Genomic DNA, 22,679 nt, shown 5'->3' with positions numbered 1-22,679 from the left:
CAGTAAACCATGCTATGAACAGATATGCTGTCATCCAGGCTTTGTTGTTCCATTTATGGAGCATAGGCAGAGAATTCACATCATTCTTAATGGCCCTAGGATTTTCATAATGGTACATGGACATTGGCTTCAACTTAAAATCACCAGCTGCATTATCCCCTAGTAAGAGAGTTAGCCTGTGCTTTGAAGCTTTGAATCCAGGCAATGAGTTATCTTTAGCTATAAAAGTCCTAGGTGGCTGGCTGGGCATGGTGGCTCATGCCTGTAATCCCAGCACTTTGGGAGGATGAGGCGGGCAGATCATGAGGTCAGGAGTTCGAGACCAGCCTGGTCAGCATGGTGAAACTCCATCTCTACTAAAAATACAAAAAATTAGGCAGGCATGGTGGTGTACACCTGTAGTCCCAACTACTTGGGAGGCTGAGGCAGGAAAATTGTTTGAACCCAGCATATGGAGGTTGCAGTGAGCTGAGATTGCACCACTGCACACCAGCCTGGGTGACAGAGTGAGACTCCATCTCAAAAAAAAAAAAAAAGTCCTTGATGGCATCTTCTTCCAATAGAAGACTGTTTTGCCTACATGGAAAATGTGTTGTTTAGTGTAGCCACCTTCATCAGTGATCTTAGCTCGATCTTCTGTAGAACTTGATGCAGCTTCCGCATCAGCACTTGCTGCTTCACCTTGTACTTTTATGTTCTGGAGATGGCTTCTTTCCCTAAACCTCAGGAGCCAACTTATGCTACCTTCAAACTTTTCTTCTGCAACTTCCTCACCTCTCTCAGCCTTCATAAAATTAAAGAGAGTTAGGGATTTGATCTAGATTAAGTTTTGGCTTAAGGGAATGTTGTGGCTTGTTTAATCTTCTATCCAGACCTCTACAACTTTCTCTGTATAAGCATTAAGACTGTTTCACTTTATCATTCATGTGTTCACCGGAGTAGCACTTTTAATTTTTTTTTTTGAGACAGAGTCTCACTCTGTCACCCAGGCTGGAGTGCAGTGGCACAATCTCAGCTCACTGCAAGCTCCACCTCCCTGGTTCACGCCATTCTCCTGCCTCAGCCTCCCGAGTAGCTGGAACTACAGGCACCCGCTACTATGCCCAGCTAATTTTTTGTATTTTTTTTTTTTTAGTAGAGATGGGGTTTCACCACGTTAGCCAGGATGGCCTCAATCTCCTGACCTCGTGATCCACCTGCCTTGGCCTCCCAAAGTGCTGGGATTACAGGTGTGAGCCACCGCGCCTGGCCTTAATTTTCTTTGAGAACTTTTACTTTGCATTTACAACTCGGCTAACCATTTGGTGTAAGAGGCCTAGCTTTTGACCTATCTAGTCTTTTGATGTACATTCCTCACTAAGCTTAATCATATCATGATTTTGATTTAAAGTGAGAGATGTATGTGACTCTTCTTTTCTTTTTTTTTTTTTTTGAGACGGAGTCTTGCTCTGTCCCCCAGGCTGGAGTGCAGTGGCGCGATCTCGGCTCACTGTGACCCCTGCCTCCTGGGTTCAAGCAATTCTCCTGCCTCAGCCTCCTGAGTAGCTGGGATTACAGGCATCTGCCACCATGCCAGGCTAATTTTTGTATTTTTAGTAGAGATGGGGTTTCACCATGTTGGCCAGGCTAGTCTCGAACTCCTGACCTTGTGATCCGCCCACCTCGGCCTCCCAAAGTGCTGGGATTACAGGCATGAGCCACCGCACACAGACGTGACTCTTCTTTTCACTTGAACATTTAGAGGCCATTGTAGGGTTATTCATTGGCCTAATTTCAATGTATATTGCCTCACAGAATAGGGAGGGCCAAGAAGAGGGAGAAAGGTGAGGGAACAGGTGGTCAGTGGAGCAGCCAGACACATACTACATTTATCAACTATAGGTTTGCCATCTTATATAGGTGTGATTTGTGACACCCCAAAACAATTACAATAGTAACATCCAAGATCACTGATCACAGATCACCACATCAGATATAATAATAATGAAAAAGTTTGGGCTAAGTTCGATGGCTCACATCTGTAATCCTAGCACTTTGGGAGGCCAAGGGCAGAGGATCACTTGAGGCCAGGAGTTCAAGACCAGCCTGGTCAACATAGTGAGACCTTGTCTCTACAAAAGAAAAAACAAGTTTGAAATACTGCAAGAATTACCAGAATGTGATACAAGAGACAGGAAGTGAACATATACTGTTGGAAAAATGGCACTGATAGACTTGCCCCATAAACCTTCAATCTGTAAAATCACAATATCTACAAAACACGATGGGAAAATGAATAAAATGAGGTATGCCTGTATATGGGTCCCTTTACCTTCCCCCTGTTGTTTATAATTGTCCTATCCATGACATCTACATACATTGAAACTCTCCTAGACTGTGTTATAATTTTTTCTTTCAATGATCATAAATAACTTTATGTAAGGAGAGAAAAATAACCTAACTTTATCCAGATATATACCAATTCTGTTGCTCTTCCTTCATTTCTGTAGTTCCAAGTTTCCTTTTGGTATTATTTCACTTTGGCTTCTATTAGCATTTCTTTCAGAACAGGTGTTCTGGAGACAAATTCTTTTAGGCTTTCTTTATCTGAGAATGTTTTTATTTCACTTTTATTCTCAAAGGGAATATTCACTAGATAGAAAATTTCAAGTTGACAGTTCTTTTCTTTCAGCACTTTAAAGGTGTTATTCCATTGTCTTCTGGCTTCCATGGTCTCTGATGAAAAATCTACAGTCATAAGAATTATTGTTCCCCCATATGTAACATGTGATTTTTTGGTGGCTACTCTTAAAATTTTTTTCCTAATATTTGGTTTTCAGAAGTTTGATTAGGGTGGGTGGGGTTTTCATTGCTTTTATCCTTTTGGGGTTCACTGAGCTTTACAATTCTGTAAATTTGTATCTTTAACCAAATTTATGAAGTTTTCAGCCATCATTTCTTCAAATACTTTTCCACATCAGTCTCTTTCTCCTCTATTTCAGAAATATTGATGACACCAATATTAGAGCTTTTGATATTTTTCCACAGGTATCTGAGGCTCTGTTAATTTTTTTTTTTTTTTTTTTTTTTTTTTGGAGGCAGTCTCACTCTGTTGCCCAGGCTGGAGTGCAGTGGCCCAATCCTGGCTCACTGCAACCTCTGCCTCCTGGGTTCAAGCGATTCTCCTGCCTCAGCCTCCTGAGTAGCTGGGACTACAGGTGCATGCTACCACACTGTGCTAATTTTTTGTATTTTTAGTAGAGATAGGGTCTCACCATGTTGCCCAGGCTGGTCTCGAACTCCTGAGCTCAGGCAGTCTGCTCACCTCTGCCTCCCAAAGTGCTGAGCTTACAGGCATGAGCCACTGTGCCCAGACTATTTTTAATATATATCTAAAACATCATGTTCTTTTTCTTTCTTTCTTTCTTTTCTTTTTCTTTTTTTTTTTTTTTTTGAGACAGACTCTTGCTCTGTCACTCAAGCTAGAGTGCAATGGTGCAATCTCAGCTCACTGCAATCTCTGCCTCCCCAGTTCAAGTGATTCTCCTGCCTCAGCCTCCCGAGTAGCTGGGATTATAGGCAAGCACCACCACACCTGGCTAATTTTTGTGTTTTTAGTAGAGATGGGGTTTCATGATGTTGACCAGGCTGGTCTCAAACTCGTGACCTCAGGTGATCCACCCACCTTGGCCTTCCAAAGTGCTAGGATTACAAGTGTGAGCCACCACTCCTGGCCAACATCACATTCTTTATTCTTATTTATTCTCGTTTACTTTTTGAATTTTTTTATTACAAAATTTTATCGGTACATAGTAGGTGTCTGATTGTTTAAAAACATTTTTTTAATTGACAGCCTACATTACCCAGTATTCCCAGGTGGTCTCCCTCCAAATCCTAACCAGGCCTGACCCTGCCTAGCTTCAAAAATTAGACAAGATTAGGTGCATTCAGGATGGTATATCTGTAGACTGTTCATTTTTAAAATATTTTTTTCTCTATGATCTTTATATTGAATAATTTATATCGATCTATCTTCAAATTCACTCATTCATTCATCCATCTGTTATCTCCATTCTACTAATGAGCTCTGCAGCAAATATTTTTACTTCACATAATTTCTATTTGGTTCTTTTTCATAATTTCTATTTCTCTGCTAAGAACTTCTACCTTTCTATTTATTTCAAGGATGTTTAACTTTTACCTCATGGGGGATGGTTATAATAGCTACTTTAAAGTTTTTGTCAGATAATTCTAACATCTAAATAATTTGGGGATTAGCATCTATTTGTTTTCTTTTCCTTTAAACATTTATCAGTTTCTTGGTTCTTTGTATATTAAGTAATTTTGGATTGTATCTTGCCCATCTTGAGTGTTAGATTGTGGGACTCTGAGTCCTGTTTAAATTATCTGGATGGTGACTAGTTTATTTTAGCAGGCAAATAACTCAATTAGTTTCAGACTACAAGCTTTGTCTCACCTGCTGTGGGTGGTTGCAGTGTCAGTTCATTTTCAGAGTCTTTGCTAGGCTGTTTGAATCTACCCCATGCCACTCTGGGGTTAGTCTGACAGTCAGATGGTGATTTATATTACAGTTGAGTTATCAAAGCCATTACCAAGCTTTCTTTTTACCAAGCACATGTGCAACTTGGTAGTGAGCTTGCAATTTCTCTTGGCTCACGTACAGATTTAAGGGATCCCTTTCTCTAGCTCTTTCCTCCCTAGAGGAACTGTCCATGATCTTAGCTAAGTTGGTCTCTCCATTTGTGCCTTGGAGTCTAACCTCTTTTATAACCTGCTCCAGGACATCACTCCAGCCACTGCCCTCTCTTTTTCTTGTGTCATCAAATTTTCCCTCTCTATTGATTATCCCTGTAAGTGTACAAACATACTTTATTATCTACCTTATTAAGAGAAAAAACTTTTCTTGATCCCATAAGCCTCCTTAGTTACTTAACCCAACACTGCTTCATATCCTTAATTAATATTCTTTTTAATATCTTACTTCTCTGTTCTTCTGTAAAACAAACCAAACTCCTCAAAAGAGTTATTTATAGTCACTGTCTCAAATTAGTTTGTTTCTTGAGCTCATTCTAATTAGGCTTTTGTCCCTACCACACCACCAAAACTGCTGTTTATCAAGGTCTCCAGTGATCTCCATCAATAACCGATGATCAGTCCTTACCTTATTCCACTATCTGCTGTATCTGTTACAGTGGTTACTTCCTCCTTAGAACACTTTTTTCACCTGGCTTCTGAGATTCCACTCTCTCAGCTCTTATCACACCTCACTGGCTACTCAGTTTTCTTTACTGGTTTCTCCTCAATTTCCAGCCTTTAAATGTTGGGGCGTCCTCAGGGTTTAGTACTTGAATGTTTTCTCTGTCTAGACTATTCCTTAGGTGATCCCATCCAGCTTTATGAGTTTACATGTTATCTATATAGTGAGCTCTCAAATTTAGGTCTTCAGCCTAGACATTTCCCTCAACTGCAGACTTGTATACCAACTGCATTCTATCAGCATTTCAACTTGGATGTCTAATAAATATCAAATGTAGTATGTACATAATGAATGCATTTCCCACCAAAACCTGCTTCTTCTATAGCTTCCCCATTTCAATAAATGTCAATTATAGCCTCCAGTTGCACAGATCAAAACCTCTGAGTCATTCCTTTGTAATGTAAACTTTATTGAGGCATAACACTGATACAGGAAAGTGCTCAAATTATAAATGTACAACTTAGTGAATGTTCACAAAGTGAGCCTATTGATATAGCCAGCATCCAGATTAAGAAACAGGGCAGGCCAGGTGCGGTGGCTCATGCCTGTAATCCCAGCACTCTGGGAGGCTGAGGCAGGCAGATCACGAGGTCAAGAGATCAAGACCATCCTGGCCAACACAGTGAAACCCCGTCTCTACTAAAAGTACAAAAATTAGCTGGGCGTGGTGGCATGCGCCTGTAGGCCCAACTACTCGGGGGGCTGTGGCAGGAGAATGGCTTGAACCTGGGAGGTGGAGGTTGCAGTGAGCCGAGATTGCGCCACTACACTCCAGCCTGGTGACAGAGCGAGACTCCATCTTAAAAAAAAAAAAAAAAGAAAGAAAGAAACAGGGCATTGCCTCAGAAGCCCTCATGTCTCCCTTCTAATCATTAGCTTCCCAAATGTAACCAATATCCTGGCTTCTAACACCACAGGTTAGTTCTGTGTGTCTTTGAAATTTATATAAATGTAATCATATAGTTTATACTTTTTTGTGTTTGGCTTCTTTTGATCAATATTATATTTGTGACATTCACTTATATTAAGACTTGTAGTTTAAGTTTTTCTACTCTCGTTGTATATTCCATTATGTAAATATAGTATAATTTGTTTCATTATTCTATTCTTGATGGTGTTTGGGTACTTTTTAGTTGGGGATATTACAAAGAATACTGCTATTGACAGAGCAGGAGCACTGTCATCTCGAACAAACACTGCCACTTTAAGTTCCAGCTCCCTTTCTAGCCTCGTGCATTTCAAGGAAATCACTCTCTTCTAAGTACAAATAGAAAGAGCAGACAGTAAAACATAGATAAGACAGCTTGGGTACAGAGGGAGGTGGGGGGAAAGTCTCCTGGGTAACTGCCAAACTTCACCCTCATACGATGGCTCCCAGTAAAACAGTAGGCCCTAATAAGCACATTCCTTTCCCTTCAGGTGCACTAAGATAGGGAAGCTAAAAGCAACCCGGGGGATATGCCTGCAGCTGCAGAAAGATGTATGGGAACAGACACACAACTTTCCCTCCCAGATAAGCACAACAAAGAAACACAGAAGCAGTCCAAGCCTCTGATAAATTCTCCCACCCTGAATCCTTAAAAACACTTAGTCTGTAAGAGAGTGTGGCTCTGACCTAACTTGGCCAGCTGCCCCACTCAAGTTTATTCAGAATAAACCTGTCCCTGTTGACTGTCGAGCCGCCCTTCGTGTTTCTCTCTTCTTTCTTTAATTCTTACAGCTATGACTAATCTTGTATATGTCTTTCAGTGAACATAGGTAAACGTTTCTGTTAGGCATATGCCTAGGAGGCAGATGTTCAACTTTAGTAGATACTGCGGTTTTCTAAACAGTGGTTGTTTCATATCAATTTACCTTACCAACAGCAGTGTAGGAAAGTTCTAATTGGCCTGTATCCTTGCCAATACTGTCTTTTCTTTCCTTCCTTGTTTGTCTTTTTCTTTCTGACTATTCTGATGGGTAATGGGTAAGTAGTGGTATCACCCTTGTCCTTGCCACCATCATTTTTCACCCATATTATTGCCTCCTAACAGGAATGTATGAGTATCCTTGGAGGTCCCTGAGTATTTCTTTGCCTTTTAAACTTTGTTTCCCCCCATGGTAGCCATAGTGATGCTTTTCAAATGCAAGTCAAATCACGTCAGTCCTCTTCTCGAAAGCCTCCAATGCCTTTCCATCTCACTCAGAACAAATAGCAAAGTACAGATAATTGGCTTATTAGGCCCTCGGTTATTTGCCTCCTGCTCTTTCTCTTCTCTTTGCCTGTACCACTTCAGATAAACTGGCCTCCTTGTTCATGAAATAAACCAAGCTTACTCCTCAGAGCTTTTGCACTTGTTCGGTCTATCTAAATTGGCTTGTTCTTCCCCTGGCCACTCTTGCACTTCCTTCATATCTCTGCTCAACTGTCATCTTATTCCAGAGGCCTGCCCTGATTATGCTGTCTAAAACAGCAACTCAGTTATTCTCCCTTCGACCTTCCTTATTTTTCTACCTATTTCCTACTAATTATCTCTGACATTAAAAAAAAATTATTTGTTTAGGGTCTGTCCCTCCCAGTAAACTGTAGCTTCTAAGACAGACTTTGTTTTTGTTCTCTGCTATATTGCTCTATTCCCACGTCCTAAAACAGCGTCTGAACCATAGAAGTCACTCAATAATTTTCTTTTTCTTATTTAGTAATTCTAGTGACCCGACTCAATAAATTTTTTTAAATAAATGCATGAGAAATTGACAAATTGTAACAAGTCCAGAAGAACAATAGCAGGTTACTGAACTGCCACATCAAATAAGGAACCCTTGAAGAAAGTAAGATGTTTAATCTGGAGAAGAAAAGATTGCTGGGCACGGTGGTTCACAGCCTGTAATCCCAGCACTTTGGGATGCTGAGGTAGGTGGATCATGAGGTCAAGAGATCGAGACCATCCTGGCCAACATGGTGAAACCCTGTCTCTACTAAAAATATGAAAATTAGCTGGGCCTGGTGGTACGTGCCTGTAGTCCCAACTACTCAGGAGGCTGAGGCAGGAGAATCACTTTAACTGAGGAGGCAGACATTGCAGTGGGCCGAGATCACACCACTGCACTCCAGCCTGGCGACGGAGCGAGACTCTGTCTCAAAAAAAGAAGAAAAGATTTAGGAGAACAGGACCATCATCTTTGAACATATGTAGGACGGTCACATGCGGTTTTAGAGGTCAGAAGTTGGACTTGACATGCCAAATACTTCCAGTAACAGGGAGTTCACTACTCTGTGAAACAGCCAGTTCCATTATTGAATTGCTGGGTCAGAAAGTTACATTAAACTAACATTTATTTCTCTCTGACTTCCTCTCATTCATTAATCTGTTCCCTGGAATTCCACAAACCAAATCTAATCTCCTCTTCACTTGCATTTGGATGAAATAAAACACCATGTTTAAGGAAATAAGAAAAACTACAGGGCTTTTGTTTTGCTGAGAAAAATAAACATACTGAAAAATGAAAGGCTTAATAAAATAATGGGTTTTGTTTTTTGTTTGGGTGGGAAAAGGGGGCAAGGTTGTGAGAGGAAAGAGAAGGAAGAGAGATAAGTTCGTTGATGTTGAGAGAGATCAAGCTTAAGAAAAAGAACAGAAATGTCTAAGAATTGATTAAGCTTCTGCTGTGTGGGGTATGGTACAGCCAGGATCCCCATGAAGTAATCAGTACAATATCCCTGCATTGCGAGTTGGATCTATTTTTTGGGATATGTAGAAATCCTGATTATAGTGAGTGTGATGCAAGATTAAGGCTACCCATGAGAACCCTGTTATATGCCAGTACACATACAACAGATCATCGGATATACCAAGAGATATTAGAAGAAATAGAGTTTTGGTTTCTTTTTACTGGGTGTGAGAATAATAACGTTGCCAGGAAATGAGAATAATAACATCTATAGGAAATGATAATAATATCTGCCTTTCTTTCCTAATAAGCTTTTTGAGCATATCAATAAAATTTTTCATGACATAATAGGATAAAATGTTTCTGTGACTACAAAATTGTACAAAAAGGCGAGGGATTATTATCAGTAAAGTAAGGTGCAGATTGGATGAAATAATTTCCTTCCTCAAAACTCTTCAATTCATTCATTCATCCAGCCATTTATTGACTAACTTCTAAATTCCTGGCACTGTTGTAGATACTAAGGATACAAAGATGAACAAGGGTATTGGGGGAACCAGCCCCCGATATTTCAACGTGGGTTCTTTTCTATTTTCCCTAAGTGTTGGCTGGTCTGAGAAATAAAGGGAAAGAGTACAAAAGAGAGAAATTTTAAAGCTGGGTGTCCGGGGGAGACATCACATGTCGGCAGGTTCCGTGATGCCCCCTGAGCCGTAAAACCAGCAAGTTTTTATTAGCAATTTTCAAAGGGGAGGGAGTGTACGAATAGGGTGTGGGTCACAGAGATCACTTGTTTCAAGGGCAACAAAAGATCACAAGGCAGAAGGTCAGGGCGAGATCACAAGGTCAGGGCGAAACTAGAATTATTAATGAAGTTCCATGTCCCACTGTGCATGCATTGTCATTGATAAACAACAGGGTTCAAGAGCAGAGAACCGGTCTGACTAGAATTCGCCAGGCTGGAATTTCCTAATCCTAGCAAGTCTGGGGACGCTGCAGGAGACCAGGGTGTGTTTCATCCCTTATCTGTAACTGCATAAGGCAGACACCCCTCCAGAGTGGCCATTTTAGAGGCCCCCCCCCGGAATGCGTTCTTTTCCCAGGGCTGTTAATTATTAATATTCCTTACTGGGGAAAGAATTCAGCTATATTTCTCTTACCCATTTTTGGTAATAAGAGAAATATGGCTCTGTCCTGCCCAGCTCCCAGGCAGTCAGACCTAATGGTTATCTCCCTTGTTCCCTGAACGTCGCTGTTATCCTGTTCTTTTTTCAAGGTGCCCAGATTTCAAATTGTTCAAACACACATGCTTTATGAACAACTTGTGCAGTTAACGCAATCATCACAGGGTCCTGAGGTGACATACATCCTCAGCTTATGAAGATGATGGGATTAAGAGATTAAAGTAAAGACAGGCATAGGAAATTATAAGAGTATTGATTGGGGAAGTGATAAATGTCCATGAAATCTTCACAATTTATGTTCTTCTGTCACGGCTTCAGCAGGTCCCTCTGTTCGGGGTCCCTGACTTCCCACAACCCAAGGGTATTTTGTCCTAGAGGAGTAAATAGTTAACTATTGCCTATAGACTAAGTATAACTTCTTAGCATGGCATTCTTAATCTGGTACTAAAATTTGATTTCCCATAACATTTCCTTATATAACCAATATTCGGAGCAACCACATCAGACCATTTAGCATTCCCCAAACATAAGGTGCACTTTTATCCACTTTGTCTTTGTGCTATTATATCAGTCTAGAATCCACTCATTATTCATTGATTCAAAACACATGTATTGGACTCTTTCCTTGTGCCAGGCACTATGTTGGGTATCAGGAACACAGAGATAAATAAGATGTAATCTCTGCCCTCAAAGATCTTAGTCTAGGAAAGGAGAAACATCTTTCCCCTTTTCACCTACTGTAATTCTCTTCTTCAAGCCCCAGATGAAATCTATGGCCTCTGTGTAGCCTTCCCAGATCTCTTTCTTTCAGTACATAGCTTATAATTACTTTGAATCTTTTCATTCCTTCTGTGTTAAAATAAACTGCTTTGTATGCTTCTCCTTCTAGACTATCAGTTCCTGGGCAGAGATCATGTTTTACCCACTTTTGCATCCCTGCTAGCAGTTAGCACAATTCTTTGCATAAAACAGTCCTCAGCAACAGTTGGCTGAGTTGGAAAAAGAATGCGGTCCAAAACCTAAACCTCAGGCCACCTGGCAGAGATATAAAATCAAGGCACACGTGTTGAACTGAATTAAAAGATGGGGAATCCAGTAAGCCAAGCCACCCAGAAGGATACTTTTAGAATATGCCAGGGAGTCATTTGTTTACCTTTATTTCAGATTTGTTTATTTCTCTTGTAAACTCCAACTGGAGCTCTAATAGTCTGGCTGCCACGTAACTGACCCAAGCCAAACATTCTAAGATCATTCCCAAAAAGAGGAATGGAACTTCTAGGACCTTTACAATTGTCCTGTCAGCCATCTGGACTTAGGAATGTAGAATCCTAGTTATCAGAGCTGGGAGATACCTTAGATATCTCAGAGATTACAAACTCCCTCTCAGAGAGGGGCACTGACTTATCTAAGGTCATGTAGCTATGAACATGTATTCACATACGTAAGCATAAGCAGATGAACCTTCCATTCACTCTTCACCCTGTGTAGAAACTCCTGGAAATGAGGATCATATCTTCTCCCTAAACGGTCAGAGTTATTCATCCCACTGTTTCCCTGATTACTTACCTCTCCTGCTTTTGGACATGGGCAAAAATTTTCAGAGAATCCCTCCAAGTAGTACCTTACCTCTTTAACCTATGATTCCTAATGCCTCTCATGGAATGATGTAGCAGCAATAGCTCAGGATCAGAAGTCAGAAGTCCCAAGCTCTAGTGCCAGTTCTTGTACCACATCACTGTGGAACTTTGGGCAAGCCACTTACAGCTACCCAACATTATTTCACCATTAGTATAAGCGTGTTCAGGCCAGGTGTGGTGGCTCATGCCTGTAATCCCAGCACTTTGGCAGGCCCAGGTAGGTGGATCACTTCAGTTCAGGAATTCGAGCCTGGGCAACATGGTGAAACCCTGACTCTACAAAACAAACAAACAAACAAACAAAACAAATTTAGGCAGGCTTGGAGGTGCATGCCTGTAGTCCCAGCTACTCAGGAAGCTGAGGTGGGAGGATCGTTTGAGCCTGCGAGATGGAGACTGCAGTGAACTGGGATCACACCACTGCACTCCAGCCTGAGTGACAGAGCAGATTTGGAGGAAGATAGATCAAACTATGGATTGAGGAAGCGCAAAGAAGGAATTGACCTAATTGTTAACATGTTTTGCAGGCCACTGACTTAAACAGCTATTGCTATTTTTTTTTCTTTTTTTTTTTTGAGACAGAGTCTTGCTTTGTTGCCCAGGCTGGAGTGCAGTGGCGCAATCTCCACTCACTGCAACCTCCGCCTCCCAGGTTCACGCCATTCTCCTGCCTTAGCCTCTCGAGTAACTGGGATTATAGGCACGTGCCACCATGCCCAGCTCTTTTTTGTACTTTTTTTTTTAGTAGAGACAGGGTTTCACCATGTTAGCAAGGATGGTCTCGATCTCCTGACCTTGTGATCCACCTGCCTTGGCCTCCCAAATTGCTGGGATTACAGGCATGAGCCACTGTGCCTGGTCAGATTGCCTATTCTGGATGTTTCACGTGTGTTGAATCATATAATACCTGGTTCTTTGTGACTGGCTTCTTTTACTTATCATTTTTTTTTTTTTTTTTTTTGAGATGGAGTTTCACTCTTGTTGCCCAGGCTGGAGTGCAATGGCGCGATCTTGGCTCACCGCAACCTCAGCCTCCTGGGCTTAAGTGATTCTCCCGCCTCAGCCTCCCGAGTAGCTGGGATTACAGGCATGTGCTACCATGCCCGGCTAATTTTCTATTTTTAGAAGAGGCGGGGTTTCTCCATGTTGGTCAGGCTGGTCTTGAACTCCCGATCTCATGATCCACCCGCCTTGGCCTCCCAAAGTGTTGTGACTGCAGGCGAGAGCCACTGCTCCCGGACTACTTATCATGTTTTTAAGGCTCATCCGTGTTGTAACATGTGTCAGTACCTCATTTTCATGGCTAGATAATATTCCATTGTATTAAAATACTACATTTTGTTTCTCCATCAATTAACAGACATTTGGATTATTACCATTTTTGGCTATTAGGAATAATGCTTCTGTGAACATTCATGTACAAGTATTTGCATGGATGTATGTTTCAATTTTCTTGGGCATATACTAGGAGCGGACTTGCTGGGCCACACAATAACTCTATGTTTAACTTTTTGAAGAACTGTCAAATTGTTTTCCAAAGTGCTATACCATTGCCACCAGCAATGTATGAGGGTTCCAATTTCTTCACATTCTTGCCAACACTTGTTATTGTCTGTCTTTTTTCCTATAGCCATTCTTTTTAAAATTTTATTTTTCCATAAGTTATCGAGGTACAGGTGGCATTTGGTTACATGAGTAAGTTGTTTGGTGGAGATTTGTGGCACCCGTCACCCAAGCAGTACACAATGCACCATATTTGTAGTCTTTTATCCCTCACCCCCCTCCCACTCTTTGCCCCAAGTCCCCAAAGTCCATTGTATCATTCTTATACCTTTGCATCCTCATCGCTTAGCTCCCACATATCAGTGAGAACATATGATGTTTGGTTTTCCATTCCTGAGTTACTTCACTTAGAATAATAGTCTCTAATCTCCTCCAGGTCATTGCAAATGCTGTTAATTCATTCCTTTTATGGCTGAGTAGTACTCCATCATATATATATACCAGAGTTTCTTTATCCATTCATTGATTGATGGGCATTTGGGTTTGTTCCACGATTTTGCAATGGTGAATTGTGCTGCTATAAACTTGCGTGTGCAAGTATCTTTTTTGAATAATGACTTCTTTTCCTCGGGGTAGATACCCAGTAGTGGGATTGCTGGATCAAATGGTAGCTCTACTTTTAGTTTTTTAAGGAATCTCCACGCTGTTTTCCATAGCAGCTGTACTAGTTTACATTCCCACCAGCAGTGTAGAAGTGTTCCCTGATTGCTGCATCCACGTCAACGTCTACTATTATTTTATTATTTGATTATGGCCATTCTTATGGGAGTACGGTGGTATCGCTTTGTGGTTTTGATTTGCATTTTCCTGATCATTAGTAATGTTGAGCATTTTTTCATGTTTGTTGGCTATTTGTATATCTTCTTTTGAGAATTGTCTATTCATCTCCTTAGCCCACTTTTTGTTGGGATTGATTTTTTTTTTTTTTTTTTTTGTCTTACTGATTCGTTTGAGTTCATTGTAGATTCTGGATATTAGTCCTTTGTCAGATGTATAGATTGTGAAGATTTTCTCCCACTCTGTGAGTTGTCTGTTTACTCTGCTGACTGTTCCTTTTGCCGTGCAAAAGCTCTTTGGTTTAATTAGGTCCCAGCTATTTACCTTTATTTATATTGCAACTGCTTTTGGTTTTTTTGTCTTGAAATCTTTGGCTAAGCCAATGTCTAGAAGGGTTTTTCCAATGTTATCTTCTAGAAATTTTACAGTTTCAGGTCTTGGGTTTAGGTCCTTAATCCATCTTGTGTTTTTTTCTTTTTTGTGACAGAGTCTCACAGTCTCGCTCTGTCACCCAGGCTGGAGTGCAGTGGCGTCATCTCAGCTCACTGCAAGCTCCACCTCCTGGGTTCACGCCATTCTCCTGCCTCAGCCTTCTGAGTGGCTGGGACTACAGGCGCCCGCCACCACGCCCAGCTAATTTTTTGTATTTTTAGTAGAGATGGGTTTCACCGTGTTAGCCAGGATGGTCTCAATCTCCTGACCTCGTGATCTGCCCGCCTCGGCCTCCCAAAGTGCTAGGATTACAGGCGTGAGCCACCACGCCCAGCTCCTCAATCCATCTTGAGTTGATTTTTGTATAAGGTAAAAGATGAGGATCCAGTTTCGTTCTTCTACCTGTGGCTAACCAATTATCCCAGCACCATTTGTTGAAAAGGGTGTCCTTTCCCCACTTTTATGTTTTTGTTTGCTTTGTCAAAGATCAGTTGGCTATAAGTATTTGGGTTTATTTCTGGGTTCTCTATTCTGTTCCATTGGTCTATGTGCCTATTTTTATACCAGTATCATGCTGTTTTGGTGACTATGGCCTTATAGTATAATTTGAAATCAGGTAGTGTGATGCCTCCAGATTTGTTCTTTTTGCTTACTCTTGCTTTGGCCATGTGGGCTCTTTTTTGATTCCATATGAATTTTAGAATTGTTTTTTCTAACTCTGTGAAGAATGATGGTGGTATTTTGATGGGGACTGCGTGAATTTGTAGATTGCTTTTGGCAGTATGGTCATTTTCACAATATTGATTCTATCCATCCTCCTATAGCCATTCTTGATGGTATGAAGTGGTATCTCATGGTTTTGATTTGCATTTCCATAATGACTATAACGATGTTGGGCATCTTTTCATGTGCTTATTGGCCACTGGTGTATCTTCTTTAAGAAATGTCTAAAATTTACTCTGCTTTTTCCTATTTTCATTATTGAATCTGTTCTGTCTATCTTTCCTATCTGGGCATGGTCATATCTCACCAATTCACAAATACCATGTTTCTCCCCTAGATTCCTCTGATTCCTGCAGTTTTAGTAGAGGAGAGAAAGCATAAATCCTAGAACACAAAGGCACGGGTTTGAATCCTAGCTCTGATACTATATTAGTCAATTCTTGTGCTGCTATACTGGAATACCTGCAAGTGGCTAATTTATAAAAGAAAAGAGGTTTATTTTTGACTCACACTTCTGCAGGATGTACAGGAAGCATGGCACCAGCATCTTCTTCTGGTGAGGCCTCAGGAAGCTTTCAATCATGTTGGAAGGCAAAGGGGGAGCAGGCATATAAGATGAGACAGAAGGAAGCAAGAAAGAGGAGGGGAGGTCTCAGATCCTTTTAAACAACGAGATCTCATGTGTAATCTAACTGAACAAGAACTCACTCAACACTAAAGGATGGTGTTAAGCCATTCATGAGGGATCTGCCCCCATGACCCAAACACCTCCCATTATGCCCATCTCTAACAATGGAGGTCACGTTCCAACATGAGATTTGGAGGGACAAAACATCCAAACCATATCAGTTATTAACTTTCTTATTCTCCCTAAACATGTCTCCTAATCTAAAATGATTATATCTATCTTACAAGACCAAAGAGAGTATTAAATGATAAACGCAAGTTACAGAATTCCAAAAACTATATAGCAATATGTAAATGATAGCTACAAGAGTAAATCAGAGCATAACATTTTTCTTTCTTTCTTTCCTTTTTTTTTTTTTTTTTTTTTTTTTTGAGACGGAGTCTCGCTCTGTCGCCCAGGCTGGAGTGCAGTGGCACGATCTCAACTCACTGCAACATCTGCCTCCTGGGTGCAAGCTACTCTCCTTCCTTAGCCTCCTGAGTAGCTGGAACTACAGGCACGTGCCACCATGCCTGGCTAATTTTTGTATATTTAGTAGAGACGGTTTCACCATGTTGGCCAGGCTGGTCTCGAACACCTGACCTCAGGTGAACTGCCCACCTCAGCCTCCCAAAGTGCTGGGATTACAGGCGTGAGCCACCATGCCCGGCCACATAACATCACATTTTTATTTGTGTGTTTCTTCTAGTTATACAATGCATCTTGCCTTGTGTTGTTCTCTTTTGTATGTTTTATCTTCCCAAGAAAAGACTGGGCTCCTTGAGAAGGATCATATCCTAATCGTTTTGTGTCTTCCAAAGTACATAACATAAAGCCTTCTATATGGAAGTTTCTGACAAACATTTATTAAACGAGTAAATAAATTAATGATGTGAGATATAGTGAACATTTATGGGTTTTTGTTGTTTTTGCTTTTCTATTTTATTTTTCTTTTGTTCTGTTTTTTGAGCCCAGGAGGTTGAAGCTGCAGTGAGCCATGATCGTGCCACCAATTCCAGCCTGGGCAACAGACCAAGAGTCTGTCTCAAAAAAAAGATAATATATGTAGAGTTAGTAAATACAGCAGTGGCTACTGATCTCCAGGCTTCTCATTTGCATCAATTCTTTAAAATCACCTGTACCTGTTTTGGTTGCCCAGCATCTGAAATCTCTTCCTCTGTGTGAGTCTTAATGGGAGACAGGTTCTCACCTCCCACAAGAGAAGTCAAAGGTATCTAAAGTTTTCCTTTTCCCCCCTGCACTTGCAGCTAAGGCAAAAGCAACATGATCAAGGCTTGGTCATTTGGCTGCTTCCACTCAGGATATTGACTCTTGAACAAATGATGTAAAGACACAGGGTCAGAGGAGAATTCCTTTAATATGGCAGCAGCATTGGTGATGGAGGTAGTGCTTCCAGCTGTGGCATCCTTAATACCATTCCTGTGGTGTGACTTTGGCTGTGGTCCCTGGTTCTACTTTCTGAGCTTGATTATCTGGCTTTCCCATCAACTCTGAGGATTACTTAATAACCTTCCAATATACTTATTTTCCCCTTAAGTTGGCAGAATTGGTTTCTGTTGCTTGCAACTAATAATCTTAGCATACCTCTGGAGTAAGGATTTGGGGAGAATGAGAAAGCAGGAGGCGTTCCGTTTTTCCTTTATGAAATTTCTTTGTAAACTTCTCTGTTATTGCTGTTGTTGTACCACTTCCGTCATTTAAAAATATGCTTTTAAAATAAATAATCTAAGGCACAGTGGCTAAAGAGAAATGGTAGAAAATAAAATTTGAGGGGCCGGGCACAGTGGCTCACGCCGGCAATCCCAGCACTTTGGGAGGCCAAGGAGAGCAGATCATGAGGTCAGGAGTTCAAGACCAGCCTGACCAACATGGTGAAACCCCGTCACTACTAAAAATACAAAAATTAGCCGGGCGTGGTGGCACATGCCTGCAATCCCAGCTACTTGGGAGGCTGAGGTAGGAGAATAGCTTGAACCCAGGAGGTGGAGGTTGCAGTGAGCAGAGATCGCACCACTTTACTCCAGCCTGGGTGACAGAGTGAGACTCCATCTCAAAATAAAATAAAATAAAATTAAATTAAAATTAAATTAGAAAATTAGGTTGGGGCCACATTGTGCAAGGCCTTGAATGTCATTTTGAGGATTCTGAATTTAACTCAATGAGAAATTTAAAAAACAGTCCAGGCGTGGTGGCTCACGCCTGTAATCCCAGCACTTTGTGAGGCCAAGGCGGGTAGATCACTTGAGGTCAGGAGCTCAAGACCAGCCTGACCAACATGGTGAAACCCCGACTCTACTAAAAATACAAAAAATTAGCCGGGCGTGGTGGCACATGCCTGTAATCCCAGCTACTCGGGAGGTTGAGGCAGGAGAATTGCTTGAACCTGTGAGGCAGAGGTTGCAGTGAGCTAAGTTCACACTACTGCACTCCAGCCTGGGTGACAGAGAGAGACTCTGTCTCAAAACAAAACAAAACAAAACAAAAAACAAAAAACAAACAACAACAAAAAACGGAATAATGACACAATTAGATCTGTGTTTCTTACTGCCATGTAGAAGATGAATTAAAATATGGAGAAATTAGAGGCAATTTCTTAGGAGGAGGCTGCTGCCATGGTCCAGACAAGATTGAGAAAATTTCTCAATTTTGAAAGAGAGAGAGACACACACACACAAGTTGGGTTATCTGGAAGCAGAGGCTGAGACAGAGTTTGAGGTGCAAGATGCTTACCAGGGGGAAGAAGTAGGGCTGAGCTAAGAGAGAAGTCAAACGGCAATGCAGATCTGACAAAGACCCAGCCTCCCTGGCAGGGAGCTCTGGAGTGAATATTTCCAGCCCTGGCTAGCCCTTGTCAATCCAACCTATTCTCAGAGTTGTCCTGCAGTTGGCCAAAATGACCGAACTTTTATACCCCTGCCTTGCTTAGGCACCGAGTGAGGGCAGCCCTGGGATGGGCATGATCTTGTGCAGGACTGTCCTCTACAGCTGAGGCAGACATTGAAAGAACTGAAGCAAGCGGAAGCTATCTGCTGGCTATTCCCCCTATAGCTGAACGGCAAGTCTTTTTTTTCTTATTTATGTATTTATTTATTTATTTGAGATGGAATTTTGCTCTTGTTGCCCAGGCTGGAGTGCAGTGGCGAGATCTCAGCTCATTGCAACCTCTGCCTCTTGGGTTCAAGAGATTCTCCTGCCTCAGCCCCTGCTAGTAGCTGGGATTACAAGCGTGCATCACCGCGCCCGGCTAATTTTTGTATTTTTAGTAGAGACAGGGTTTCGCCATGTTGGCCAGGCTGGTCTCCAACTCCTGACCTCAGGTGATCCCCCCACCTCGGCCTCCCAAAGTGCTGCGATTACAAGCGTGAACCATCATGCCCGGCCAACAGGAAGTCTTTCTTTGGAGGTAGAACTGGATGGTACACCTTCATGTTTACCACAAAGAAAGAGAGGAATTATGATATCTTGAACAAAAGCAATGGGGTAGAAAGGAGTGAATGTGTTTTATAGATACTGTAGTTGGTAGATGGGGATAAATAAGAGGGAGTAAATAAAGGTTAACACTGAGTTCTCTCCACTTACATGATTTGATGGTTATTCTGTTATCCATTAATGAACAGTAAACATCAGAAGTAGAGAGAGCAGATTTGGGGAGATAGATAATAAATTTGATTTTGAACATGTTGATTTTGAAATGTCTACAGAACATTAAGGTAGAGATGATTTTAAAGAATCAATGCAAATGAGAGGTCTGGAGATCAGAAGCCACTGCTGTATTTACTGACTATACATACACTATCTTTTTTTTTTTTTCTTGGTCTGTTGCCAGGCTGCAGTGTGGTGGCACGATCATGGCTCAGTGCAGCCTCAACCTTCTGGGCTCAAGCAATCCTCTTACCTCAGCCTCTTGAGTAACTGGAACTACAGGCCCACACCACCATGCCCAGCTAATTTTTTCTATTTTTTTTTGTAGAGACAGGGTCTCACTATGTTGTCTAGGCTGGTCTCAAACCCCTGAGCTCAAGCAATCCTCCTGCCTCTGCCTCCCAAAGTGTTGGGATTACAGGTGTGAGCCAGTCATTGCGTTTGGCATTTTTTTTTTTTTTTTTTTTTTTGAGATGGAGTCTCACTCTGTCGCCAAGGCTGGAGTGCAGTGGCGTGATCTCGGCTCACTGCAAGCTCTGCCTCCCGGATTCATGCCATTCTCCTGCCTCAGCCTCCCGAGGAGCTGGGACTACAGGCGCCCGCAACCATGCCCGGCTAATTTTTTGTTTTTGTTTAGTAGAGACAGGGTTTCACTGTGTTAGTCAGGATGGTCTCGATCTCCTGACCTTGTGATCCGCCCGCCTCGGCCTCCCAAAGTGCTGGGATTACAGGCATGAGCCACCGTGCCCAGCTTGCGCTTGGCATATTATTTTACATATATACTTTTATTTAATACTCTTCATGCCTTTATGAATTGGGTATTGTTTTTCTTAGACCCTTTGGTATATTTTATTAATACCATTTGGGAACAAAAAAAACTGAGACTTAGGCCGGGCGCGGTGGCTCACGCCTGTAATCCCAGCACTTTGGGAGGCCGAGGTGGGCGGATCACGAGGTCAGGAGATCGAGACCATCCCGGCTAAAATGGTGAAACCCCGTCTCTACTAAAAATACAAAAAATTAGCCGGGCGTAGTGGCGGGCGCCTGTAGTCCCAGCTACTTGGGAGGCTGAGGCAGGAGAATGGCGTGAACCCGGGAGGCGGAGCTTGCAGTGAGCCGAGATCCCGCCACTGCACTCCAGCCTGGGCGACAGAGCGAGACTTCGTCTCAAAAAAAAAAAAAAAAAAAAAAAAAACTGAGACTTGAAGAAGTTAAATTTCTAGTTCAAAGAAGTAAAACTTAAGTCTGATGACAAAACACATACTCTTTTTTTTTTTTTTTTTTTTTTAGAATTAAAAAAAAAAAGAATCTCACTCTGTTGCCCAGGCTGGAGTGCAGTGGTGTGATCTCAGCTCACTGCAAACTCTGCCTCCCGGGTTCAAGTGATTCTCCTGCCTCAGCCTCCCAAGTAGCTGGGATTACAGGCGCGTGCCACCAAACTTAGCTAATTTTTGTATTTTTAGTAGAGATAGGGTTTCACTGTGTTGGCCAGGCTTGTCTTGAACTCCTGACCTCAAGTGATCCTCTCGCCTCGGCCTCCCAAAGTGCTGGGATTACAGGCGTGAGCCACCGCGCCTGGCCGACAAAACACATGCTCTTAAAGATAAAATTATATTGCTTCTCCATGGAAACCACAGGTAGATAGTATTTGCAGCCATGAAGGTCAGTAGGTCACCTAGAAAGGGTATAGTTCAAACAGGAACAAAAGGAACCAAAAAATGGAATTCTAAGGAAGCCAGCATTTCCAGGGTGAATCGTGTAAGATGACATAGTCAAAGGGATTGAAAAAAAGTAGACAGAACAGTTTTAAAAATTGAAGTATGGTATCTCAGAAGTTAAGGCAAAAAGAGAGTTCTAGTCCGCAAATTTGCAGATACCATGTAGGGTGATGGTTTGACAATTAGAGGTTACTGGTGATCTCAGAGTAGTTTATAGAGAAGTCAGATTGCACTGGGTCTAAGAATGAGTGAGAAGACCAGGCGCAGTGGCTCACGTCTAATCCCAGCACTTGGGGAGGCCGAGGTAGGCGGATCACGAGGTCAGGATGGCCAACGTGGTGAAACCCCATCTCTACTAAAAATACAAAAATTAGCTGGGTGTGGTGGCATGCATCTGTAATCCCAGCTGCTTGGGAGGCTGAGGCAGGAGAATTGCTTGAACCGGGAGGCAGAGGTTGCAGTGAGCTGAGATCACACCATTGCACTCCAGCCTAGGCAACAGAGCAAGACTCTGTCTCAAAAAAAAAAAAAAAAAAAAAAAGAATGAGTGAGAAATAAGGAAGCAGAAGAAATGGGTATAGGTTACTTTTCCAGAAATTTTGCAAAGTGGAGGAGATAACAATGCCTTAAATATAAGAAATTTATTAATATTATTAATTGATTAATAATTGATCACTGCCATATGACTTGGATTTTACATTTCCACCACTTCTTCGTGTTACTTCTTTCTACCCTATTATATCAGCGTCCCATCCCAAGTCTGACACACCTGGAAGTATTGAATGTTGTATTTTGATTGTGGATGACTTGTTTATTTGGTTATATCTTTTGAACGCCTCAGGTGATTCTGTCTGTCTTTGGAGGATGGGCCATAGGCTTCCTGCCCCAACTCCATTATCTGTTTTCCACAAAGATAGATAAACATTCACTTATCAGACTAATTCAGCAAAGCATACACGTTCTTAGGTTCTTAGCAAACCAAGTACTTTGTCCACCTCTCCTCTCCATCTCCCCTCCCTCAAATCTTCAGTGGGCAGATGTGGGAGAAGAAAGGAGCTGTCACTCCAAACCTTCTGGTGTTTCAGTTGGGGAGTCTGGCTTCACAGTGAGCTGAAACTTTCCCTTGCCAGCCTCCATCAATCCAGCCCCTTCTGAGGGGGCTGGAGAGTAATTAACATCGCCGTCCACCTGTGCACAGGAAGATGCCTACAGCCACACCAGCAATGATGAAACTGCCCACCAGGACGCCCAGGACCAGCGAAGTGTAGGAGCGGCTTGTTTGGCTCCCTGCAGAACATGCAAAGAGTTAGCCCGAAGAATAGGCCCCCAAGGAGTCCATGATTTGAGTCAAACCCCAAAGCGTTTCTGCCCCAGAGGAAAGGGACCCGTTTACCAACTGACTGAAGCTGC

At 42.0% G+C, this 22,679-nt stretch overlaps 2 protein-coding genes and 1 pseudogene across 5 annotated transcripts in view; 1 reads left to right on the top strand and 2 right to left on the bottom strand.

Annotated features, from left to right (window-relative positions):
• The window catches only part of MMP24-AS1-EDEM2 (MMP24-AS1-EDEM2 readthrough), a 162,759-nt gene that overhangs the window by 78,869 nt on the left and 61,211 nt on the right, over positions 1-22,679 (top strand). The window lies entirely within an intron of this gene.
• The window catches only part of PROCR (protein C receptor), a 45,164-nt gene that overhangs the window by 17,006 nt on the left and 5,479 nt on the right, over positions 1-22,679 (bottom strand). For 3 of the 4 annotated variants that reach the window (XM_047439830.1, XM_047439831.1, NM_006404.5), the window contains one exon: positions 21,892-22,556. The exons of the other annotated variant lie outside the window; for it this stretch is intronic. In XM_047439830.1, coding sequence (XP_047295786.1) covers positions 22,441-22,556 — 116 coding nt within the window. In that variant the 3' untranslated portion in view covers positions 21,892-22,440. Of the gene's footprint in view, positions 1-21,891; positions 22,557-22,679 lie in introns of those variants that run through there. 4 annotated transcript variants of the gene reach the window in all.
• RNA5SP483 (RNA, 5S ribosomal pseudogene 483) lies at positions 3,831-3,948 on the bottom strand (annotated as a pseudogene).

Source organism: Homo sapiens, chromosome 20 (genome assembly GCF_000001405.40).
Source record: "Homo sapiens chromosome 20, GRCh38.p14 Primary Assembly".
Classification (NCBI taxonomy): domain Eukaryota; kingdom Metazoa; phylum Chordata; class Mammalia; order Primates; family Hominidae; genus Homo; species Homo sapiens.
This window is presented reverse-complemented; position numbering and strand designations above follow the sequence as displayed.